The sequence below is a fragment of the Homo sapiens genome, chromosome 12 (genome assembly GCF_000001405.40).
Source record: "Homo sapiens chromosome 12, GRCh38.p14 Primary Assembly".
NCBI classification, from domain to species: Eukaryota; Metazoa; Chordata; class Mammalia; order Primates; family Hominidae; genus Homo; species Homo sapiens.
The window spans coordinates 126,693,487-126,720,682 of record NC_000012.12 but is presented as its reverse complement, the minus strand read 5'-3'; the positions used below and the strand labels follow the sequence as shown (position 1 = coordinate 126,720,682).

The 27,196-nt window shown below is 40.9% G+C and overlaps 1 long non-coding RNA gene across 1 annotated transcript in view; it reads right to left on the bottom strand.

Moving 5' to 3' along the window:
• Positions 1-352: 352 nt before the first annotated feature.
• Positions 353-27,196, bottom strand: part of LINC02824 (long intergenic non-protein coding RNA 2824) — a 29,915-nt gene continuing 3,071 nt past the window's right edge. The window contains exons 3-5 of the long non-coding RNA NR_183614.1: positions 25,093-25,166; positions 12,399-12,504; positions 353-1,518 (exon numbers count right to left, since the gene is read on the bottom strand). This is a non-coding gene — a long non-coding RNA (long intergenic non-protein coding RNA 2824). The remainder of the gene's footprint in view (positions 1,519-12,398; positions 12,505-25,092; positions 25,167-27,196) is intronic.

Genomic DNA, 27,196 nt, shown 5'->3' with positions numbered 1-27,196 from the left:
CAGCAAATTGAGTATATGTTACACCCCTTCATGTCTTCAACAGGAGAGGCAGTATTTAGCCCCCAAGAGGCACTTGATGTCTGATTTATGAGTAAAGGTTGTGGCAGCCTCCAAGGGTGATCTGTCTTCAATAAAGAGTCCATAAATAGTGCTGTCATTTAAAGTAGCAGCCTTAATGGAGCCCAAGAATCTGACCTTTGATCTTTGTGTCATATATGGGTTAGCTGTTAGACTGAAGAGTCCAAGAGAGGGAAGCTCAGGCCAGCTGAAACTAGAACAGCATAGAGGCAAAAAGGAAAGGGATTCTTTTGCTCACCTTCCCTGTGTAATTTATGTTGACCGTAAATCATTAGGTTTGACATGATGTTTATTAAATGGTAATAAAACACTCCATGTGTCAGTCAGGGTTTAATCAGAGAAGCAGCACTTCTATTAGTATTATGAAATCAGGGATATATTTAGAATGAGGGCTTGTAATACTTGGGGGAGAAGGGCAAGTGTTGGAAGGCCCGAGGAAAACCACCACTCAGCCCTCCTCGAACACTAGAGCAAGTTGAGGTTAGGTGGATAAGTGGGAGCTTTCAGGGTGTATGGCGAGTAGGCAGGTCCAGCTGCAGAGTGGGCTATGAAGGGCAGTGCAGGGAAGGTCTGTGGAATGCTGTCCTTTTGAGTTGCTGCTGCTTCTGCAGGTCTGCATTCAGACTTGTGGCAGTCGGCCTGGGCCCTTTGTTGGTCAGGAAATCTGGCAATTGACAAGAAGAGCAGGATAAAGAATAAAGAAAAGACTTGTAAATCCCACTGATACCTTGCTAGCTCTTAGCTCCCACCTGTACCCACAATGATCTTCAGTGATCAGTGACTGTGGCTTCATTTTTACTATCCAAATCACGTCTAAATTTATTTTATTGGCCAATCATCACCTGGAAATAAACAGGACAAGAGATTTAGGGAAATATGATTCTAGCTTAACCAGTTTGACTGAGTGCAAACCTCCTCATCCATTGACAAGGCAATGTTCAGAAATGGGACCATCCTCTTCTTGTGAAGCCCATTTAAAGGATATGTGGAGGATAGCATTCATCTTTGATAGCATAAGGTAAGTGTGTCACATATTTTTGTAACAATAGAAATGATAGCTTTGCATGTAGCTATCTTTTTGCAGAATTCCCATAATGTTCTTGAAAAGTAAGACAAGACCTACCAAAGACTATTCAACTTCAACATAATGGAGAAACTAGGAAGTGAAAATGCTATTAAGTATTTTTTTTAAAAAAAAGATAAAATAAAGGACATGCTCAGGTGCTGCAAGTCATCTGAGAACAACTGGTTTTGCTTACCTTCCTCTCCCCCGACACACACATATGCACAAACACTTCACCTGAGAACAGAACATCATTCCCACTTCCGTATGTCTCAGGCTATCCTTGTGAGAAAGCTGGCGTTTTGAGAAAGGGAGGCTCAGGGAATTGCAGGAGGCACAGGGAATTAATTCTGCTGCCTACTGCCACGTGTTGAGACCTGGGGGAGAAAAAGTGATTGACATTACTTCTGTGTATTGACACTGGGCAGTGGGGAAACATAATAGCTTTTTAAGTGACTACCTCTATTTAGCTTGTAATGAGTGTATCAGTTGAGCTATCATGTAAAAACCATCAAGGATATTTGTAGTTATACTATTAAGACTTAAATATTCTAAGGAAAAAAGAATGCATTGGCTCATAAAACTGAGGTTTAGGGATGATGATAGCTTCAGGTATTGTTTCATCTAGGAGTCAAATCAAATGATCTCTTCTCTATCTTGGTTGTTCTCTTCCCCCATCTACAAATTTTGTTTCTCTTTGCATATTGATTTATTTTCTTCTGTAAGTATTTAGTCCCTCTAATCCTTCCCTTTCTCGTCTTTAAAATGGAAATGTTAAAAATGCATACCTCACAAAATGATTGTGGGGATTCAGTAGATCATGTATGTACAATGCTTAGTAAAGTGGCTAGAATATAGTAAGTGGTCAAAAATATTAGCTATCATCACCATGATCATCATCAATGTCATCATCATGATCATCATCATCACCATTACCATTATCATTACCATCATCATCATCATCATCATCATCATCACCATTATCATCAGGAGCATCATCACCATCATTGTCACTATCATCATCATCACATCATCACCATCATCATCATCACCATACAATTACCATCATCATCATCACCATTATCATCACCATCATTATCACCCAATAAAGGCAAGGCCAATAAGATAAAACATATTATTGTAACACCAAATTAAATATTTATTTTGAGTTTCTAAATGATCTGTTGAAGGCCAAGGAACCACCACAGTTAAAAAGGAAGGGAAAAATATTAATTCAGATCAGAGCAAGAAGAGTGTCACTGGAATGAGCAGATGAGCATCTTCAAATACCTGGAGGGCAGTGATTAACCTTAATAGTAAGCTCTGTGTCTGTTGCTCTCAGGAGAAGAGCCCAGGGACACTGATAAGACACCTGGTTGCAGATCACAGAAATTAGTCAGTGATATGGTTTGGCTTTGCCTCCCCACCCCACCCAAATCTCAGGTTGAATTGTGAGCCCCAGTGTTGGAGGTGGGGCCTGGTGGAAGGTGATTGGATCATGGTGATTGTTTCTAACAGTTTATCACCATCCCCCTAGTGCTATCTTGTGATAGAGTTCTCATAAGATCTCGTTTGAAAGTGTGTAGCACTTCTCTCTTTGCTCTCTTTCTCTCTCCTGCTGGCCATGTGAAGATGTGCTTGCTTCCCCTTTGCCTTCTGCCATAATTGTAAGTTTCCTGAGGCTCCCCAGAAGCAGAAGCCTGTACAACCCCCAGAACTATGAGCTGATTAAACCTCTTTTCTTTATAAGTTACCCAGTTTCAGGTATATCTTTATAGCAATGTGAGAATAGACTAAGACAGTCACTAAAAATAATCAGCACTAACAGTAGAAAAGAGAGAGATTTAAAAAAAAAAGAAAAAGAAGGCCAGGTGCAGTGGCTCACATCTGTAATCCCAGCACTTTAGTAGGCCAAGGCGGGTGGATCACGAGGTCAGGAGATCGAGACCAGCCTGGCCAACATAATGAAACCTCATCTCTACTGAAAATACAAAAAATTAGCTGGGTATGGTCGTGGGCACCTGTAATCCCAGCTACTCGGCAGGCTGAGGCAGGAGAATCTCTTCAACCCAGGAGGCAGAGGTGACAGTGAGCCGAGATCGTGCCACTGCACTCCAGCCTGGGTAACAAGAGTGAAACTCTGTCTAAAAAAAAAAAAAAAAATAGCTGAAAGTTTCAGGGGTTTCAGATAAGGCTAACACTAGAGTCAGAAGTCAGGTCAACACAACATTCTCCCATTTATTCTATCGAGATGGGGACCAGAAACTACTCCATCTCTGTATTTTATGAGGGTTCTCTGTTCTTGGGGGATAAATGCCCAATTCAAAATCCTCTTTCCTTAAGAGAAAAATATTTAATGCCAACTGAACAAAAGGAATCCTCTCTCTCTCTCTCTCTCCATCTTGCTATCTGTTGTCTACTGATCTTAATGAGGGTGCTAGAAAATATTGCCTGTATTTTATTTTGTGAATTATAGATATAAAATATTTATCCAATATTATGTACTGTCATCAGAATTTCATGTGACAGAGGACATTTTTTTCTTATGAAAGATATGAACTACAAAATAGCAGAATAGAGAAAATTTCCAGGCAAGAAAGGACTCATAGCAACCTCAATATACTCGTCATCATACACATTTTTGTTATCTTCTTCAAAACCTATGGAAGTTTCCAGATGTCCATTGCAGATCAGTGAGTAGAGAAAAACAGACAACTTGTATTAAGAAAAAGTGGGTTTTGGTCTAGGTACTGCCACTTTCTGACTTAACTTGTTTCTCAAATTTCCTTAGTTGCCCTTTATTAAAACTCTTCCTTACCCATCTTCTAGCGTGCGCACAGACACACACACACACACACACACACACACACACACACACACACATATGCAAGAATGCACCCAAGGCTGCCAGCTCATTTCAGGGAGAGAGGCGGCTACATACTCCATATCTATGCAGTTTGTCAAGTACAGAAGAGTTTGAACTCTACAATCTAACTTTGGCCATGGGTGAGATAGAAATTGGGGGAAGATAGTGGTGATTCATTGATTTCATCTGATTCTCTGAAATAGAAAAGGAAAAACTACCAGAATTGCCAACATGATTTTCAGGAAGAAGCACAGAAGTCAGAGTTGAGGAGATTTGTCCCCGAGATGCCAAAATAAAAACTAGAGTTAAAGTAACAAAAACGTATTTATTGTCTTAGTACAGAAACAGGCAAGTTGATGGAAAAGAAATGAATTACCTCTATGAAGAAATTTATTATGATTTGTTGATGTTATTGTTGTTTTCACTAAATGGGTCCTGCCTTACTAACTAAATCATTCTGTAAATGATGGAGAGAATAGAACAGAAGACACCTGGCTTTGTGTGCAGAGCTTGGCATCAAGGAGGACCAGGCAATAGACGTGGCTTCTGATTTTTGGTTGCAAATGGGTTTCCTTTCCTCTGTTAGAGTTTGCACAAGTTGTTCCCTCTTCATATAGCAGAGAGGAGATTCTCATTCTAAAGCCAGCCAGATCAGAGCAATGACTGCACTCCCAGTGGAGAATAGTGTTGGGTTCACACATGACAGGATGTTTCTAGGATTTGCATTCATTTTCTCTCTGAAAGACTATGATCTAGCTTCCTAATCCTCTATAGAGTTTGCAAAGTGTTCTAAAGAAACTTTCCTTCCTTCCTCCCTTCCCTCCCCTCCCCTCCCCTCTCTTTTCTTCTTTCCTCCATCTCCCTGCAAAATGTTCACAGGGTCAAAAGTGCTCAATAATGGTTTACAGGGTAGACTTTTAAGAGAGAGACATCCGGCCGGGCGCGGTGGCTCACGCCTGTAATCCCAGCACTTTGGGAGGCCGAGGCGGGTGGATCATGAGGTCAAGAGATCGAGACCATCCTGGCTAACAAGGTGAAACCCCGTCTCTACTAAAAATACAAAAAATTAGCCGGGTGCGGTGGCGGGCGCCTGTAGTCCCAGCTACTCGGGAGGCTGAGGCAGGAGAATGGTGTGAACCCGGGAAGCGGAGCTTGCAGTGAGCCGAGATTGCGCCACTGCAGTCCGCAGTCCGGCCTGGGCGACAGAGCGAGACTCCGTCTCACAAAAAAAAAAAAAAAAAAAAAAAAAAAAAAAAAAAAGAGAGAGACATCCATATTGGCTAAACTAACTAAGCACCAACTCTGTGCTGAGCGCTGCTTTAAGAGTCGTACTTTCATCGTCTTATTTAACTACAACAACCTCTCATTCTTATTTAACAACAATGACCTTCCTCATTCCCGTTTTAGAGATGAGGAAAGTAAAGCTTGGTGCTCAAGAGCTTGTTCGATGTATACTTAGAGAGATAGTGGAAGGGCTGGGATCTAAATCAGACAGGTCCGGCTCCAGGTCCCAAGTGCCTGAGACACCATAGCATGAGATGAAGTGCTAAGATCACTTCAAGCATGATGCAGGGAGGGATTGGAGGAAAGTGATGTGAGTTACATTTGCACCACAGATGACTTGCCTGTGGTGGATTACTGTGCCAGGGAGATTGTTTTCCTCTGTGCTGCCTCACTACCAGGTGGTTATTAGAGTTCCAAATGATAAAGAGAAAGAAATCACTCTAGCAGCCAATCACGCACATTCATATGGAAACATTCCCTGTGATTCAGTGGTGCATTAGTAATGCCTGTAAACCAGAGGAAATAAAACTCAAAAAGTCTCACATGGCATGGAGCATTAGGAGTTTCAATATCAAGAAGTATTATGGGGCCGGGCATGGTGGCTCACGCCTGTAATCCCAGCACTTTGGGAGGCCAAGGTGGGTGGATCATTTGAGGTCAGGAGTTCAAGACCAGCCTGGCCAACATGGTGAAACTCTGTCTCTACTAAAAATACAAAAATTAGCCAGGCAGTAGTGGCATGAATGTAATCCCAGCACTTTGGGAGGCCGAGACAGGTGGGTCATTTGAGGTCAGGAGTTCGAGACCAGCCTGGCCAACATGGTGAAACCCTGTCTCTACTAAAAATACAAAAATTATCCAGGCAGTAGTGGCGTGACTGTAATCCCAGCTACTCGGGAGGCTGAGGCAGGAGAATCACTTGAGCCTGGGAGGTGGAGGTTGTGGTGAGCTGAGATCGGACCGCTGCACTCCAGTCTGGGTGACAGAGTGAGACCCTGTCTACAAAAATAAAAAAAGTAAAAATAAGAAGTATCACAGTAGGGCAGTTTGAAAACAGGCTAATTTATAACAGCTCAAAAGTGTCAAATTTGTTCAGATTCTTTCTGTGCTTTTGCTTTGCTGTCTTCATCTTATTGACTAGGTCCTTAGGCTGGATCCCTTACAGTCAGCAGAATGGTTGCTCATGTTCCGGGGATTTTGTCAAAACTGGACAGGCGTTCTAAGTGTCTCCTTTTTTCAGTAAGAGAACTTTTTTAAAGGAAATTCCCAGCAGATGTTCCTTTGCATCTGATTGTCCAGAACCAGGTCTCATGCCCAACAATCACTGGCAAGGGTAGAATCTGGGTTCTACCTTTTCTGGGTTCTACCTTTTCTGGGTTTACCCCTGCGCCAAGGATGGAGTCACCTTCCATGAAGGGTGAATGGACTTTGGTTAAGAAGCCAATTGTCCTGCCTTGTGAGTTAAATAACTTTCAAGCAAAGTGTAGAACTATTCGGGAGTTCACCTTCGGCTGTCTTTCCCTTGTCTCTGTGACATGGTCTGCGGTCCCTAAAACACACAGCTGAGGCACATTTTACACACAAGCAGAACCTGCCCAGTGAGCTGCTGCTAGCAGCCCAAGTGAGTTCTCAAAAGGCCGAATTATTTCTTTTACCCAGACCAGATCCACCTGGGACAGTGAAAAATTTACTTATCACTCAAGTTGCCACTGCTGTTTTTTAAAAAGACCTACTGGGAACACTTCAAAATCCTTTTCTGTTGGTGTCTATTGAGAAACCCGGTGATTACTCCTCAATTTCGGTAGTTCTGCCTGGATTTACACTACAGATAATTGGGAAGAACATGTTTTTATTGAGTGGAATTTTGGTGCCAATCTACTCTGTAGACGCTCACCTGGGACCTCTCTGCTTGTGTGTGGTGCATGTTATGTCTCCGGCAGAACATCTTTGGGTTTTGGATTGTAATCAAGGAATGTCTAGGCACATGTGTTTTTTTCTTCTGTAAAAGTTTTTCATCTTTATTTCCTTTTTTGGTGGAGAAAAGGAGCTTGCTAGGTTGCTGAGACCACATGTGCTTTTTGTTTTTTTGTTGCTTAGTTTTTTTATTTTTATTTATTTATTTACTTTTGAGACGAAGTCTTACTCTGATGCCCAGGCTGGAGTGCAGTGGCATGCTCTTGATTCATTGCAACCTCTGCCTTCTGGGTTCAAGTGATTCTCCTGCCTCAGCCTCCCAAGTAGCTGGGATTACTGGCGTGCACGACCATGCCTGGCTAATTTTTGTATTTTTAGTAGACACAGGGTTTCACCATGTTGTCCAGGTCTCGAACTCCTAACCTCAGGTGATCTGGCTGCCTCGTGAGTGGAATTCTGGTGCCAATCTACTCTGTAGACGCTCACCTGGGACCTCTCTGCTTGTGTGTCGTGCATGTTATGTCTCCGGCAGAACATCTTTGGGTTTTGGATTGTAATCAAGGAATGTCTAGGCACATGTGTTTTGTTCTTCTTTAAAAATTTTTCATCTTTATTTCCTTTTTTGGTGGAGAAAAGGAGCTTGCTATGTTGCTGAGACCACATGTGCTTTTTCTTTTTTTGTTGTCTATTTTTATTTTTATTTATTTATTTTTGAGACAAAGTCTTACTCTGATGCCCAGGCTGGAGTGCAGTGGCATGCTCTTGACTCATTGCAACCTCTGGCTTCCGGGTTCAAGCGATTCTCCTGCCTCAGCCTCCTGAGTAGCTGGGATTACTGGCGTACACACCTGGCTAATTTTTGTATTTTTAGTAGACACAGGGTTTCACCATGTTGGCCAGGCTGTTCTCGAACTCCTGACCTCAGGTGATCCACTGGCCTTGGCCACCGCGCCCAACCCACATGTATTTTTTCTATCAACAACTTTTAAAAAGGGAGAGAAGGTTGTAACAGGATCGCTAAGTACTGGATCTGCTTGTGCCTTGTGACTGCAGCCCTTCAATGAAAAGGGCTGATGCATTTGATTATGGAATCATCAGGCGTTGTGCTGGAGAAACTAGTTTAAAAACCTAAACATGTGAGTTTTGCAAACGTAGCCCTTAGAATTTAAATCAGTACCATCTTTCCTACCTTTTCCCCAGGAAAATACACCGTGCATTCACAAAGTCCTCCAGGCCATGAGTCTGCCTGCTTTCCAATTGCATATTTACCGCCTATCAACAAATTGGTTGCCAGTGTCCAGCCGTAATTATCCTTGGATCTTGGTTATAATTTTAGCCTGAGGTGAGGTTCACTGCAATATCATGAATAACTCTTGGGCTCTCAGGTTCTTACGGAAGATTCTAAGTTAGAAAGCTTTTATTTGGGGAATTAAATACAGTGCTGGATATTCATGCTTTTTAAAAAAGATTTTTTTCTTTCTCTAAATGTCAGCTTTTCTAGTGCATGACTTCATATTTGTTTATAGGTCATGGGCTATACAATTTCAGCCTATATAGCTCATAAAAATTGGTCAAATCAATTTAAAATAGTGCGTTTGGGTGAACATAAGAATTTAAACTCAAATGTAAATTTTCTTTTACATTTGGAAGTAGAGAGGAAGGGTTTTTTTTTGGTATGACATATTAATGTATGCTAACAGAGTAAAAATGTTATAATGCTAGACAAAATCTGAGCTATATCTTGTGACTCAAATAATCTTTGACTTCTTTTTGAGAATAAGGTCAAGCATCAAAGAGAGGCCAGACAAGAGGTACCATTTCTTCGATTAGTCTGACCTCATGAGGAAAAACAGGTGTTGGTGAAGGGGTAGAGGAGTCCCCCACTAGGACAGAATCGGAGAAAGAGCCCTAGGTTGCCACTTGACAAATTTCTCAGCCCTCCATCCCTCCCTTCTCCCTTGCTTCCTTTCTGGCCTTCACCCTACATGGCTTTGTCCTCTGTCAGTGTGTCCAATGTGCATATAATCCCACACTCCTTACATAGATCATTGTTTAGAGGAAACTTCCAAAGTGAAAGCAGCCTTGAGCCAAGAAGCCAAGAGCTGTCTTTGTTATTTAAGTTAGTCTTTCATTTCCTCGACCATGGATAAGCCACCCAACCTCTGGGTGTCAGTTGGCCCAACCACTGAATAAAGTGATCGCTGCTGGCTCTAACATGCTGTGATCTATTTTTGTAAGTAAATGATTTAAATACCTCCTAAGATGAAGGGAATGCACATTTTTGCCTCAGATAGAATTATAACCTTCAAATATAATTAGATTGATTATAGTGGTCTAATTTAACACTTTAATTCCTCAATCCTTTATATTCTACATTATTTTAAAGCTCCCACTTCCACCCTGGAAATCTTTTACCAACTGTGACTTGGGATGGTGCAGAGGGAATGAAACATAGTCATCTCAAATATATACATTTGCATGTAAATTGGAGTTCTTTCCTTCACTTTCTGTGTCCAGTGTGCAAGATGCAGTGAGCGAGTTAGGCTTGCGGTATTTGGTTCATGCTGTGGCTTGGAGATTACACCAAAACCATGTACACTAGAGTTGAGAAAGTTTAGAATCTAAAAAGCAAATCCAGAGATGTTATTTGAATGGAGGGGGTGGGGACAGGGATAAGGCCTGAGATGAGTAATGTCCATTTCACTGTCTTCATTTCAATCCTGTCTTCCTTCCATGTAGCAGTGTCTAAGGGGCAAGGCAGGGAATGTGTCTGCTCATACCCCCATAAGGTCCTAATCATCGCTACCTGAATAGAACCTCACCAAATCTCTAGGCAAAATAGCTTTCTGGGCTCTGGGCTTCACCTGTGCCTAGGAACTCTAATCTGGTTCAAGGGCTGGATAGAGAACAACCCCACATCATCCATTCTATCCTCTGGATACCTCCTCCTCAATTCACTCCCTTGCCAACAGTCCTTTCACCTCCTGTATTGAGCATTCATGCACAAAATTTGGCTTAGAAGTTCTATATCCTCAAGTTATGTTTCCCAGAGTCATTGCTGTTTTTAAAAAAAAGATGTTTAGAAACTGCCCAAATCAACAGAAAACCACATACCACATGTTCTCACTTATAAGTAGGAGCGAAGTGATGGGAACACATGGACACAGAGAGGGGAACAACACACACTGGGGCCTACTGGAGGGTGGAGAATGGGAAGAGGGAGAATGTCAGGAAAAATAACTAGTGGGTCCTAACCTTAATACCTGGGTGATGAAATAATCTATACAACAAACCCCCATGACACAAGATTACCTATAAAACAAACCTTCACATGTACTCCTGAACTTGAAAGTTTTTTAAAAAGACTGTAGAAAGAAAAAGAAACTGTCCAAATCAGGACAATTTGGAAAGCAGCTGGTCTTTGAGGTATTTCTGAGAAGCAACAGTAACACATAGGGTGGGGTCAATGGTCCCCCAACTTGAATTCACACCAAAGTTAAACAGAGTCACTTTGCCTTCCCAATTTCTGTTCTGAAAAAGTTCTTTACATCATTCAGGTCCTTTAAAATTGGAAGATGTGAGAGCATTTCATGGTTAAAATTCACTTTGACATAGATTTATTTTTCTTTTTATATCTAGGAATAGTCTAGGCCAGGTAGAATTTATTTTAGGTTGTTGAACAAAATACCACTTTGGGCTACCTGGTTCTATATATTCTATATTTATAGAAATTTACATTTACATTTGCTATAGTTGATAATTTGGCAATAAATGTTCAATGACAAATAGAATAATTATCATATGTCTACAGTGTGTCAATTTGCCTCCTAGTCTGCAAAAGGTACAGTCTTGTTCTACATCTAGAAGAGATGTAAGACAAAACACAAACACACAACACAAAACTGTTTTGTTTTCTAACAGTTGAAATGATTTCTAGTCTTGGCATTGGCTGAGAAGAGTGTGTTTAGAATATTTTTACATAAAGTGATTTTTTTGTTGTTGTTATTATGTTTAGCTTCATAAAGAAACTGAAAATGTTGTTTTGCAGATTGTTTAATTAAAGTAAAGCATTATACACATGGCTTGCAAACATTTTAAAATTATGATATAAGAAGAGAAACTGGCCAGGCGCAGTGGCTCACATCAGTAATCTCAGCAATTTGGGAGGCCAAGGTGGGCAGATCACTTGAGGTCAGGAGTTTGAGATCAGCCTGGCCAACATGGTGAAACCCTGTCTCTACCAAAAATATAAAAACATAAAAATTAGCCAGGTATGGTGGCACATGCCTGTAGTCCCAGCTACTCAGGAGACTAAGGTGCCAGAATCACTTGAACCTGGGAAGCAAAGGTTGCAGTGAGCTGAGATTGCACCACTGCACTCCAACCTGGGTGACAGAGTGAGACTCTGCCAAAAAAAAAAAAAAAAAAAAAAGAGAGAAGTGGAGCTAACATGTCCAGTGAAATTGAATATGGAGATATGAAAGAGTTTTATAATTTCACATGCTCTATTGTGTCACCCGGAACAAACAACAAATTACGGTAGGAACTAATGAGTCTAACTATCTACAGTCATCTTTGGAAAGAATGAGGCTTCTTTCCGTCCAGCCACCTAGTAGCTGTGGCTGGGCCAGTGATGGGGCTTGGAGGGTTTGCAGAATAATGTTAACATAGCCAGAAACTGCTCTTCTTAGAAAGATCTGCTTGCTGGCCATTGGCTGGTGTCTGGGTACTTTGCATTTGAGCTATTCCCTAAGTGATAATAATGACTCACTGTTTTTAGAATGTTTGTGCCAATCATGTGGCTTTTGCTGAACATCTGGTTTCTTTCTGTGAATCTGAAATTCTGAAACGTGATTGGCAGACTGCCTATGTGAGCAGGTCCAGATAAAAATCTTGGGCTTCCCCGGACAGAAACCTTCTGAACATTTTGCAGAAAAGCTCACTCTGTGTAACTCTCATATAGGAGGAAGAAAGCATGAGAAAGGCTGCCTTATGAATTCCTCCAGACTCCCCCTGTGTCTTTGTCCCTTACAATCTGACTGTGTTGCCTCATTTTGCTGCTGTAATAAATCTTAGCCAGTAGTACAACTCTATGCTGAGCCCCTTGAGTATTTCTAGTGACTCTCTGAACATAAGGGTGGTATCAGGGTCCCCAACACAGAGGGGACCAAACCAGAAAGTAAGCATGGTTACCTTTCAGAACCCCACATACATCAACTTCAGGGGATGGTAGGACATCAAGATCTGGGCGGAGGAGAAGAGTCTTTGGGAATCATCTGCCTGTGATTTGCATCCTGTACTGGCAATGGAAAGATCATAGAATTCAATGAGGCATGAAATGGAAATGCTATAGGAATAAAGTAATAGATGAATGTAAAATGGTGTGATTTTGATGGATAAGGTTATGGTTTTGATGGATTCTAATGGAAAACAGAGTAAAACATATATGAGAGATCTGAGTATATATAAAATATTTCATTTGAACTTTTGTCTTCTGAGGAGAAAAACTGCTAAAATGTGCAAAATATTCCTTTTTTTAAAAAAAATATAAGTTTAGAAATGTGTAGAAATTTTAAAGGGAAAGTTTGTTTGTTTTTTTGTTTGTTTGTTTGTTTTTGAGATGGAATCTCGCTCTGTTGCCAGGCTAGAGTGCAGTGGCGCAATCTCGGCTCACTGCAACCTCCACCTCCTAGATTCAAGTGATTCTCCTGCCTCAGCCTCCCAAGTAGCTGGAATTATAGGCATGTGCCACCACGCCCAGCTAATTTTTGTATTTTTAGTAGAGACGTGTTTCGCCCTGTTGACCAGTCTGGTCTTGAACTCCTGACTTCAGGTGATCCGCCCGCCTCAGCCTCCCAAAGTGCTGGGATTACAGGCATGAGCCACCGCTCCTGGCCTCTTTTTATCCCAAATTCCATTAATTATTAATACTTCTGAATATGGGATACATTATTGTCATGTTAGTTTTATTCCACTGCAAAAATATCCATATTGAAAATGTATAGTATTCGACTCCCCAGGCAGCTACCTGTCCATGTGGTACCTTTGTAAAGTTAGAAAAGGCACCCCTTCCTCAAAGAGTTTGACTGCCGTCTTTCTGACAATGGTTATAATAAATACTGTACCATATTTCATTAGATGTAAGATGCTAGCATTGGTCAGACTTACTCTTATTTTATATACCACTAAGAAAAACAAATGCTGCCTACAAGATGAATTAGTTGTAAGATGCCCCCTCATTGCAGATAATTGATGAAATATAAATAAATGAAGCTACAATAGAGGATGTGAATTTTGTCTTGTTAAGACATACCCCTCTGCAGGTGTGTGCCCTGCTAACTTCTCAGATCTTGTCTTCAATACCGTGTGCCTTTCAGAATCCTGACATTCCTTCATTTACCAAACACCTGAGCACAGGCTGTAGGTGCCAGCATCCCAAATCCTACTAAAACTCATAAGTATAACAAAACCCAGTTCACAGAGTCAAGCCTATGTTCTGTAGCAGTCAATACCAGGAGTGAGAACATATTCTTTGACTTGGAAAGGGGCAGTCCTGGGTCTGGGTCTGCAACTCCTTAGTTGTGTAGCATTGGGCTGGTCATGCCACCTCCTGAGTTCAGCTTCTTTCCCCTGAGAAAGGAGATCATAACATACACAGCTCAGAGCTGATTGAGAACTTTCTGGGTTCATTAAGGAGCTATCTGTGCTTAGTAAATGCCTGTTCTATTTTACTTATTGAGAATTCTTTCTAAACCATCCAGAAGTGTGTTTTATTTGTTTGTCTCTAAGACAAGCGGAAGAAAAAAAAAACATATATAAAATGCGACATTTTGAGGGTGGAACTGTTTATGCTGGCTTTAAGCTACTACCTCAGCTCCAGACCTGCCCTTTCACACCCTGATGTCAGGGCTGGAGCTCTGCAAACCACACCTCTGCTTTGCCGGCTGCTTTCTGTTGGGCTCTGTCATTAGGGACACTAGAGGGAGACCTTGGGGGTAGAAGGGGAAAAGGATCTTGCTCTTTATGTCTTTCCTGCTGTTCCCCTATGCCATCCAGTAAATGGCCCTGCATGCTGGCAGCAGTCATTGATTCTAACTTCCAGCTTCTTCCTACTGTCTGAGGCCAGCTTCAGCACAAGCTCGAAAGACATCAGCATCTCCTGGGCATTTTCATCTTTTCAGAGTCTGGGTCTCAGCTCCCTGGGGACCTTCTTCCCAGCTCTCAGGCATCGCTAGCAACTGGGTGGTAGTCTTTCTTCTGAATGGTGGGTCTTTGCTTTGCACAGTCCTCCAAGCTTCTAGGTTCCAATATAACTACATGTGTGGTTTTTTCTTCAAAGTTAAATAAAATATTTCATTTAAAGAGGCCTCTGTGTGCAGCAAATGCCAGTTTCATTTCACTCATTCATGGCACTTTAAGGACAAGTTGCAAGTATTTTATTTGCTAGTGTTCCAGGCATATCAGAACATAAAACATTCTTATTTAATGTGGAATATTTGTAGGAAGATCTGAGTGATTTTTACAGTGGATTCATTGAAAGTGATATTTAAAAGGTTTTATAGAGGAAATACATTATTATGCCCATGCAGATACATCATAATCTAGATTGGAATGTAGCAGGAAACTGTTTGAAATATAAAATAATAGTCCATTAGCTCTGAGAAACGTAAAAATCACATAACTAAAAGAAATATATTGGCTTAAGTAAATACTGGTTCAAAGCAGACAAAAAAATGCCAAGAAAAATACTGCTAAGTAGATTCTTATCCCTTATTTGTGGTCTATAAAAGCAAATGGCAGCACTGCAGTTCAGGAAATATTGGTGACTAAAAAGCAAGTCTCAACGTAAAATCGTATGAAATAAGAACAAATGCCTTTACTTGAAAGCAAAGGAAATCAAGCAACAACAACAACAAAAACCTATAAATTTGACTGAATTCCCACACAGGCTGTGTTGCATATTGACAAGCCAATATTTTTGTATAAATCAGTACAAAACCTGTAAAAAAAAAAATTGAAGGTACCCCAAGGTCATTCTCATGTATGTAGTAAAAGCCAGTCAGTATTTGCTTGGCTATGAGCACATGAATAAGCAGCAAAGGGGAAAATAATTCTGATAGAAACCAGCCTAAACCATGCCTTCAAGAGCTTCCCAGAAATTCCATTCCTATTTGAGCCATGGTTTATGGCAGTGATCAATTTAAATCTAGTCAGAAAATAGTCCATAATTTACCCCCTGATTATCTAGGTGGCTAATACCTTATTTCTCAAGTAAAGAAAAGCAGCCAGATGCGGTGGCTCACGACTGTAATCCCAGCATTTTGGGAGGCTGAGGTGGGTGGATCACCTGAGGTCAGGAGTTTGAGACCAGCCTGGCCAACATGGCGAAACCCTGTCTCCACTAAAAATACAAAAAATTAGCTGGGCCTGGTGGTGGGCGCCTGTAATCCCAGCTACTTGGAAGGCTGAGACAGGAGAACCGCTTGAGCCCGTGAGACTGAGGTTGCAGTGAGCCAATATCATGCCATTGCACTGCAGCCTGGGTGACAGAGTGAAACTCCACCTCAAAAGAAAAAAACAAAAAAAGAAAAAGAAAAGCACGCAAGGATAGAAATCACCAATCTTTTCTGTGATGTTTGTGTTTCCGTTTTCTGCCACCAGGGGCTAATGATATTACCATGGTCTATAAATCCACTATTCCTCTTTCCTTCCCTGTTGGGCTTTCAATAGGCTTAGTTCACTAGACATGGGGCAAATATATTGCTTTTTGGTAAAGATGAGTTTTGCTTGCTGACAAATATGGTAGCTCCTTACAAAATGAACAGTGATCAGAGACATTGTAAGCTAGTAGAACAATACATTGCTGTAAGTTACCCCAAATTTATTTGATTCAGCCTGGGTTAAAATACAAGCTAATGTATTTTAGGACTCAACATTTTGTTTTACATTTGTTGGACAGAACATTTGAGAACAAATTTAAGAAGTTACTGACACAAGTGTTTTCAAGGATTTTCTTCACTGATATTTAGCCTTTGTTTACATAGGGAAGAGGGAAGATTACCAGATAGTTTACATTCTTATTATCATGACATATATGCCATACTTAATTGATCCATATCATGGCATTATAGCTTTTGAATTTTTCTCTGTTTAGATAGGAAAATAAGTTTTTCATTATATTGAAAGTTCATTTTAACTGCTTCAAGAACTATTGGCTTTATTACTGAGACTATGAATGTTTATTACAGGAAACTTAATTCGGAAAACTTTGTTCACTGTAATTGGAAACCGAGTTTGCCACCAAAGGCTGATTAAACCCAACAACTATTCCATTAAACTGCTGACTCTTCCTTTAGTTTACACAGCCAAGATAAAAGAGATTGAACAGAATCTTTTCCTTGACCTCGAGAAATGAATGACTTTCACAGGTGAAAAGGATGGACCATGTCTGACAATTTAAACAGTCAATTCACCTTCTCCATGAGCCTCAGTGAATTAACAATATTTTCAACCCCTTTATGACTCTTCAAGAAGAAATAGGGCGGTTAACCTGCATTTTACATAGGCTTTCTGCTGTTTATCTTTTCAGCCCTTTATATATGGCCTTCTATTGTTTCTCTTTTCTGCCCCTGAGAAGCTTCCTCTGATACCTCTCACTGGAAGATTTGATTGTATTGGAAGAGGGAAGGAATCTCACAGGAGATCAGTATGGTTTTACCTTGTATCTGTTCTATCCATGCCTCATTTCCCTTTCTGTATTCTGTTGTGGGCAGAATCCAGGGACAAGTTGTCTTGGCATTGTCATCTTGCACAGAGCAGCACCCTGAACATAGTAAGTAGTTGGAAATAGTAACTTGAGTGCATGGCTATCCTACTACAAATTATTTCTTAATGCCCATCTTTCACGGGTATCATGGAAAATCAGGATTACGCATCACCTATAATGGAACTCATCACATTCCCCGTGCTCATTTTCCAGGTCTCCTGAATCAATGGATGGCTCTGCCTTGTATTCAGTGCTAAAAAATGGAATTCTCCAGTGAGAGCTCTCTCATCTGATGACCAAGTCCAGCCATGGTCTGCTGCCTCTACCCCATAAATGTCCTTCAATTCCAGCCTTTTGCACAATTTCCAGTTCAAACTAACCAGTGTATCTCAATTCATCTGTTGTTCCCTACTGGGTTTCTCTTACAGCAACCAAATCTGATTATAGTATTTCCTTACTTAATGTCTTTCTGTGGCTCACAACTTACTTTTCTAAAACGATCTTGATTCTTCCAATAGCTGAAAAGATTTAATATGTCCCAGCCTCTGCTGACCTCTCTGGCCTCATCTCACCTTACCCTCATTCTTGAGAATCTTTGTTTTATTTTGTTTTTGCAGAGCGGCCATTGTGATTTATTTGTCAGTTCATGAAAAGCACTGGACTTCTCATCCGGGGCATGTGTCATTCCTTCTTTCTGATTCCCTTTTTATAGAATGTTCTGATTAGTCACTCATCCAGTTGATTTCACTTATTTAAAAAAATTTCAGACAAATGTCACTTCCTGAGTGGATTTTCCTGATTACACAAATTTGTTTTGACTCTCCTGTCATATGTTCATTCCCCTAGGTTTGATCTTGTATATATACTAAATCTGTGATTAAATAACTAATTTTTATTTAGTTGCCTATTATGTATTTTCATGGCTAGAATGTTATTCTTTGTCCTAGATCCTAAGAGTAGGATACATATCCTACTAGGTAGATAGACAGGTAGATAGATAGATAGATAGATAGATAGATAGATAGATAGATAGATATGTATGATACTATATATATATATATATATATATAATCCTTTATATATAGTAGGACACACGCACACACACATAAAAGAACAGCACACACATAAATATAAGAACAAATTATTTTTAATCCAGGTTCTTAATACCATAGATCATGATTTTTTATAATGCATATTCATTTTCTGCCACTCTCTGACCCCTAACACGTGTGGGAGATTGTTCTTGGCCATGGGTTTTGGGTGGTAAGGAGATAAATGTTGTCCTTAGCCTCAAGGGGCTCATAATTGTTCAACTAAATTTGCTTAAAATGAACCTTGTCTGTCAATATGTATAGATGAAGTATACCTAAAGCATGTTGTGGCTCATTAGGAATGGTCTTAGGAAGTGTTGGGTTGAGAGGCTGAAATAGTAGGTCATCTAAAGTGCATTAAGAAGGGAGCCCACTGGATCCCAGTCTCTGCCACCCCAACAAGAGACTGATCAGCCTGCATGTTATTGAAGGCAGAACCATTACAGAACCTCGAGGGGCAAGGTGCTGAGGTGGAATAGGGGACAGAGGAACTGGGTCTCCTCTTTCATTCTGCACACAGCATCTGTGGGCATGTGGGTGAATTAGGTCACACCCCTGGCCATTATAAGGTGTTTGGGATAAAAATGCAGTGGCATTTGTGAAGTGTCTAGCACATTGCCTTTGATCTTAGTCAACAAATGAACGCTTGTTTCTTTCCCTGCCCTTTTTCCTCATCATCAGACCCATCATTCTAAAATACTTTCATATTCCCTTCCTGCTAACTAGGGAATCAAACTGATGCCTAGGTGTGTCCTTGTGTTTTCTGCTTGTACAGAATTTTTAAAAACTCATATATAGTGATATAAGCTATATACATAGATTTATAATTTATCCCACATGAGCTTTGAGATTATTTTTATATGTCCTCCAGCTATAATGAAAATTTCATAAACGAACAACCCCTTTTTATAGTTTTTTACGTTACCCCAAAATGCTCTGTTAGTGCTTTGTGGACAATAGTTTCGGGTCACCTGCCTATGGAAAGAGTAGGTGTTCATGAATGCTGAAATGGTCTCAAGAAAGAAGAAGAACTCAAAGCCAAGGACCTGATGATCTACAGAATGTCTGGTACAAATGTTTTAAGCACAGGAGCGACCTGGCTGATGTAACTGCATGACGTTTGCTAACTGGCCTGTCAGTTTACAGACCCCATCATCATTTTCTAACTCCTTCATTTCCACTGACTCTTTCAGCAGAATGAAGGTATCTTCTGACATAATGTTGACTGGCACCAAAAAATTACACATGAAATTATGAAATCTTTTAATTAACTAGTTACTAGTTAACAACATGTATAAAGTATCTGCTATTTTATTCTATGCTAAGCATTCCAGATTCAGTGATGAGCAAAAATGCATGGCCCCTCCGTCTATCCTGTTTATACAGAAAGGATCTTATTCCCTCTCCAGTGTCCCAGTTTACCCATACAATATGCTCTTGAAATATACATCACAGGATGCATTGTTGAATGTTACACAATGTTGAATGTTATACAACATAATGTAGTTAATTTCCACAAGAATAGTTTTATGAGTTCCTCAATGCCACAGTTATTATTATGCATTCCTAAATAACATCAAATCTTACAAAAACTGAAATAATTATTCCAGGAGTTAGCAGTCCACAGGAAGTATTTTCCTCGAGAATGACTATAATCTGATTGTCCATATTTTCTCTTTAAGCACTGTATTAGTCTGTTCTCATGCTGCCAATAAAGACATAACCTGAGACTGGGTGATTTACAAAGGAAAGAGAGTTAATTGACTCGTAGTTCAGCATGGCTGGGGAGGCCTCACAATCATGATGGAAGATGAAGGAGGAGCAAAGACACATCTTACATGGTGGCAGACAGGGAAGTGTGTGCAGGGGAACTGTCCTTTATAAAACCGTCAGATCTTGTGAGACTTATTCATTATCATGAGAACAGCACAGGAAAAACCTGCCCCCATGATTCAATTCTCTCCCACCAGGCCCCTCCCATGACACATGGGGATTATGGGAGTTACAATTCTAGATGAGATTTGGGTGGGGACACAGCCAAACCATATCAAGCACTTTAGAGTAATCATTTAAGCCAACTCACAATGAAAACATAACATGATACATGATATTCACGTAATTCAAGCTGTAAGGCCACCTCTTTTGCTAAACAGAAACAAAGGAAACCCAATGAAATATTAACAGTAACTAATCAGAAAGCAGCAAAGCACATGAGAGCCCTGCATACAGCAAGTGCTCCTGGCCCTGCCATGAGTCAGCCAACTTCCAGAGCCCTAAAAGGAGAACTTCTGTAACTTCAAGCCAACTGCACAGTGGCACGGAGCCCTTGTCTTGGAGCCTCAGCTGCTTCAGCGTTAGAAATGGATCCTGAGAATAGGTCTTGTGAGCAGAGAGTGGGGGAATTAAATGAATTCTTCTTGCTGAAACTGAATGTGCAAATCTGGTACTTAGACTGTATGTATGTGTGAAAAAGGAGGATGAGGTGTGATTAACAAAAGATAAGTCGTCTGTCTATAAGCACTACATTTTCTGGTGATTTTTTAAAGATTGTTTTTCGCTATATATATATATGTGTATATATATGTATATATGTATATATATGTATATATGTATATATATGTATATGTGTATATATATGTATATATATGTATATATGTGTATATATGTATATATGTATATATACGTGTATATATACGTATATATATACGTGTATATATATACGTATATAATATATATATACGTATATATATACGTATATATATATATATGTAATCCCATCACTTTGGGAGGCCGAGGCGGGTAGATCACCTGAGGTCGGGAGTTTGAGACCAACCTGACCAATATGGAGAAACCCTGTCTCTACTAAATATACGAGAAATTAGCCTGGCGTGGTGGTGTATGCCTGTAAACCCAGCTACTCGGGAGGCTGAGGCAGGAGAATCGCTTGAACCTGGGAGGCAGAGGTTGCCATGAGCTGAGATCGCTCTATTGCACCCCAGCCTGAGCAACAAGAGAGAAACTTCATCTCAAAAAAAATAATAATTTTATAATAAAAAGTCATTTGAATTAATAGAAGAGGACACCACAAACTAAGTGAAAATTGAGCAATGAGCCAATGGGTTAGTGATTCTCAGGTCACCATCTTTGGCCTGAAAATGATTTTCACTCAAATCCCAAGCCAATATGACTGCTATAATCCCCAAGAACATGTAAGGATAAGAGAAAAAGGGAACAAACTGCATCACCACTTTTAAATGTGGTATGTCCTGGGGCTGTTGCTCTGATAAGGAAAAGCTGCAGCATCTGGCATCAGGCATCCATCCTACCTCATTCCTTGCCATCTCTTGGGCCACATGTCATAGTGATGCCCCCAGCCAGCCTTCCACATAAGTGGTCCTACCAGCTGCTACCTGGAATGGAACTGAGAGGCCAGATTCATTTTCCAGGAGGAGGCCCCAGTGAGCTTAGACAACATTCACCGAAATGACGGTTCTCTCTGCCTGGAAAACAGCATCCCAGCTCAGGCTTATGTTATACCCCAGGGTTTGGTGTGTAATGACAGAGGCCATCGATCCATTCTGGGGACACTCTGGGATCATAGAGCCCCTCTCCCATTTTTCCCTGGTGATAATCTTGCCCGTAAAGGGAAATAGATAGACCACGCTTTGAGGATTCTGTGGCAATTATAAAGCCTTGGAATCTTGCAGGCAGGAGACTAGACTTCTCAGTGTCCAGCACTAGAGAGAGGGCTGTGGGGAGGGAGGTGCTCCTTTCACAACCAAGGGTTCAGGGTCAGTGGAGGTCGGCAACCCTCTCCCCTCCCCGTGACCCCCTCCGCACACTCTACCAGTGGTCTGACCTTGGGCAAGGTACCTACCCTCAGTTTTTCTCATCCATAAAATGGGATACTTTACATGACATACATCACAGGAGAGATGTGAGGATTAAATTAGCCAGTGTGTGGAGAATGACTGGCACAGTGGCTGTCATGCAGAAAGCACTCAGTAAATTCAGTTGGCAGCCAGTGTCTTCGCTGTCCCTCCTCACCTGTGTCCTATGTGTGCTCATATGTGGACAGTGCCCTGGTTGTTGTTGCAGTGAGAATTAGCAACGAAGGATTTAGCTTCTAAGAGTTCAACATCAGCATTGCCCAGGAAAATTAGAATTTTAAAGGAGCCTTCTCCTGTGGACTCAAAATGAATGGAATTTTAATTCTGCCAGATTTGTGTTAGACTTTGACTGTTACCAAGATATTTAACTTTCAAATGATTAAGTTTGCTAATCTACAAAATAAGAGTATTGATTGATATTAACCCGTGGGGTCTGTAAAGCTTCAAAAAAGGAAGGGTGAAAGTCTGACGGGGTTCAGAAGACAGTCTGTGCAGTTAGAGGCAAATGCATGCAAATTCCAGCTCAGCCAATGAGAACTTATCTCCTCTAGCTTCATGTTCCTTATCTATAAAACGAAGATAATAGTAGTCCCATAGTTTAAATAATTATGAGGATTAAATAACCTGTGTAAAATGCTTAGTGTCTGCTAAGAATTTTAGATTTGGTTCTTATCATTACATGAAATTCTATTGTATTAATCAGGCAGGATCCATTCAGCTGCAAGTGACAGAACACTTACTTCAGCAAAACGAGCTAACTTACTGCCTCACACCCAGGAATTGATCTGAGGGTTCAGTCAGGAAGGGATCCAGGAATTGAAACACTTCGGTCAGCAATTGTTTTCTTCTTTGTATCCTTGCTCTTTTGTTCTGTTCTTTCTTTATAATTTGCCTCAATCCCAAGAAGGTTTTGTCTTGGTGATATTGGACATATTCCATGAGTTTGGTTATCTCTGCAGGAGATACCGTTTCTTAATTCCAACATTTAAAACATGAAGTCTTCCATGCAGTGCTCACCAGTTCTTATTAACTTGGATGTCATTGCTGGCTCATTCCCAAAGCACTCATTGTTGACAGTAGGGTGGAAGGCTCTGATTGGCCATCCTGGATCATTAGCTCACCCCATAGCCAGGGTGGGAGTCAGCTCCACCTGACAGCATAGGCTGAATATGGTGTGGTGCTTCTCCAAAAGGAAAGGGAAAAAATGGTGCTGTATTAGTTTGTTAGTGCTGTCATAACAAAAGAACACAGACTGGGTGTCTAAAAAAATAGAAATTTATTTTCTCATAACATGGAAGCTTCCATAATATGGAAATCCAAGATCAGGATGCAGACAGGGTTGGTTTCTTTGGCGGCCTCTCCCTTTGGTTCCCAGATGGCTGTGTTCTCTCTGCATCTTCCCATGGTCTTTCCTCTGTGTGCACAGGTACTTCTGTCCAAATTTCCTCTTCTTATGAGGACACTAGTCGCATTGGATTATGACCCACCCTGAAGACTTCATTTTAATTTAATTATTTCTTTAAAGACTGTGTCTTCTGATAGGATTACCTTCTAGGCACTGCAGGCTGGGATTTCAATATATACATTTCAGCGAGGGAGGGGGACACAATTCCTCACATAATTGCTGCTATTAGAGGAGAGGTACTGTTCAGGAGTGGAAGGTCATGCTGGAATTGCCAACACTCCAAACTATCACTGGTTTATCTTATCACAGGTTGAGTTCTGTTTTGCAAAATAAGATGTGAGCTCAGCCTCGGCAATTGAGGCTGGTTCCATTTTGTGGCTCCTCCCTCTTGACTGTGGCTTCTGCTTTTCTGCCACTGGGAAGAGAAGCTGGAAGTTCAGGAGTCAGCCTTTCCATGCTTGAGCCCAGCAGAGATCTCACTTCTGCTCAACCCACTAGCAAAAGGAGTCACAAAGCCCCACCTAACTTCAAGGAGGTTGGACAATCATGGAGAGAAGATGGATACTCAGTGTGCCATCTCCAAAGGAAAAATTGAGTCACTTCAGGAAACTGCAGCAATTATCTCATCTTTTCTTCCAAGTTTCCATGCTGATATTGGTTACTGCATCATCCTATCACTGTAGAGGCACGTGTTTTTCTTCCTTCCTGCCTCTGCAGTTCAGCAGGCTCTATACTCCATCAGCATCTACAGTATACTCCATCAGTTATGTCTATCACATCCTTCTCTTCATGTTTAGTGCCATTATCTTTGTTCAAGTCTCTATAGCAACATATATAGACTATCGCAAGAAGAAGATCTAGAATATAAAAAAGCTCAGAGTTGGAAACTCTAATGGGTACTGGAAAAAGAGGAATGATTCTTCATCCTTACAGCATAAAATTCAGGACTGGAATGAGGCAAAAGACAGGAGATGAGGCTGGCTGGGCAGGTAAGCAGGAGACTAACCAATACCAGCCTTGATCAAGTCAGTCCAGAAAACTGAGAACTTGCATCCAGTGAGTGATTGGGAGCTATTGGGTAACTTTGAGAAGGGAAGGTGAAGGGTGAGGGGGACTGGGGAAATATGAAGCTCGAAGCCAGAGTCGGTGTTGGTGGAGTCAGATTTTTAGCCTGTAAGGGGATCACAGAGGTGCACAGGACTTTTGACGAGTTACTAGAGTTCTCTGTCCCTCTCAAGTTCCTTATTTATAACAAAGCAATAATTCTAACAAACATTTCCTGTAGAAGTGGACTTAGGGAACTAATGTATACAAGATAGCTCTCACTGTTCCTGAGTATAGAAAGTACTCAGTGAAAACTGGTTATAATTCAGAAGGGGAGAATCAGATGGAGCAGGCTGCCTTGAGAGAAGCTATGAGATCTGTGACAAAACACGCCCAGGCAGTTGGCAACCCTGCTTGGAGAACGCTGAAGAAATAAACACATGACTTTATTCTCCCTCGCTCTTTTATCGTCTTCTATCATTGGCCAGAGCCAACTGGAAACCAAAGCAGAAAGGAAAAAAGAACCAATAAGGGTAGACAGCAAGACAGGGAAGGCAGAGAGTGAGTTCATGGGGCAAACAGAAAACATCCAGCACCTCATTGTGGATAAAATTCAAGAACAAGTGTTCTCTCAGCTGCAAGTGATGGAAACTCAAGTTACACTTGCTTTTGCAAAAATGAGATGATTTACCAACTCATGCCATTGGAAAGTCCAGCAGTAGATTGTGTAAGGTTCAGTCGAGGTGGGATCCAGAAGTGGAAGAACTGTGGGTAAAAGCACAGAGAGAATTATTAGGGTTCTTGTACTTACATTTGAGTAGTAAAGTGGCCCTCATTAATAGGATATGATGATCTGTGCTTTGATGCAATTCATGAACAATAGAGATGGCTTTACTGTCACACACTTGCGTGTCCTTGGCCATCACTATATCACTACAGGTACACTGAGCCAGCCTGGGTCATCTGTACACTGGTTCACCTGCCCTGAAGAGTGTCATTGTCAGCAATTGATTATCTTCCAGTTTTAAACTTCTTGATCATCTCTAGTTACTGAGTGAATTATCTAACAAAAGAAATACACATTTGAGTTGATGACCAAATGCACTTTCTGCATGTGAAACTAGAACCACGCAAGCCTCATTGAAGACCCCTCCAAAGTGGCAAACCAGGCAAGGGGAAGTGTGATCAGAGAGCTATTAGCAAAGCCAAAACCTATGAAACTCTCCACCCACCACTAGCGGATCCCTGAAAGGAATCACGTGGACAACGTGTGATTTGGAAGTCCAGTGTCCCACATGTCGTAAACTCAGAATATTTTAAAGGAGTTAGATTGGAGTTAGCAAGGAGGTGAGACATGATGATAATTTTATCTCTTAGCATGCTCTTTGACGTCTGCCAGTCAAGAGTTCTTCGTTGTGCACATTTGTCATGATTTGTTACCTATTTGAAAGGAGCACAAGTATTGTCTCCCACCATGATTCTTTCATCAGGGATCTGAAGTGGAAAAAACTGATGTGGCAAAGCCCTTCTGTCTAGGGATGAATATCGAGACTCTGTATCCAGGGGATAGGTGACTTTGGTGGGCATAACTTGCCTAACATGTGACCTTCTCCCACTACAAAAATAATCAACATCAATCTCTCTCCTGTCTAGCCTAAGCTGTGCAGTATAAGAATGAATGGTTTCTTGTGGATGTGAAATAGATGTTTCCTCAGGCACACTCAATACATTTGTCACTGAATTCTTCTTGCTCTTGGGTCTGTAAGAACTGATTATGCATGTCAGATTTTTTCCTCAATTCAATGGAGTTTAGCAAAACATTCAAAGGCAGTTTTCTTAGACTTGGCGTCTCCATCATGCAGCAAATGACTAAGGTCTCCTAATGACTGTCTGCGACCATGGTTATTAATCACTTCAGGGACAGGTTTTATGCACAGGGACTTCTGCCCCTGGGCTGCTGAGTGGCTGGTGCTCATGGGGGCCCCGAAGGAACATGATGCTTCACTGTTGTATCTAAATACACCACTTGTCTCAATGACCACAGACACTGGGTTGAAGTGTGGTGCTTTCTGTATTCTCTGATGGTTTTAACATTTTCAAGTAAGAAAAAATGCACAAAAGATTTATAATTGCTTAATCCAGTCTATCATTGTTGGACATTTGGGTTAGTTCCAAGTCTTTGCTATTGTGAATAGTGCCACAATAAACCTACATGTGCATGTGTCTTTATAGCAGCATGATTTATAATCCTTTGGGTATATACCCAGTAATGGGATGGCTGGGTCAAATGGTATTTCTAGTTCTAGATCCCTGAGGAATCGCCACACTGACTTCCACAATGGTTGAACTAGTTTACAGTTCCACAAACAGTGTAAAAGTGTTCCTATTTCTCCACATCCTCTCCAGCACCTGTTGTTTCCTGACTTTTTAATGATCTCCATTCTAACTGGTTGAGATGGTATCTCATTGTGGTTTTGATTTGCATTTCTCTGATGGCCAGTGATGATGAGCATTTTTTCATGTGTCTTTTGGCTGCATAGATGTCTTCTTTTGAGAAGTGTCTGTTCATATCCTTCAGCCAATTGTTGATTGGGTTGTTTGTTTTTCTTCTTGTAAATTTGTTTGAGTTCTTTGTAGATTCTGGATATTAGCCCTGTGTCAGATGAGTAGATTGCAAAAATTTTCTCCCATTTTGTAGGTTGCCTGTTCACTCTGATGGTAGTTTCTTTTTCTGTGCAGAAGCTCTTTAGTTTAATTAGATCCCATTTGTCAATTTTGGCTTATGTTGCCATTGC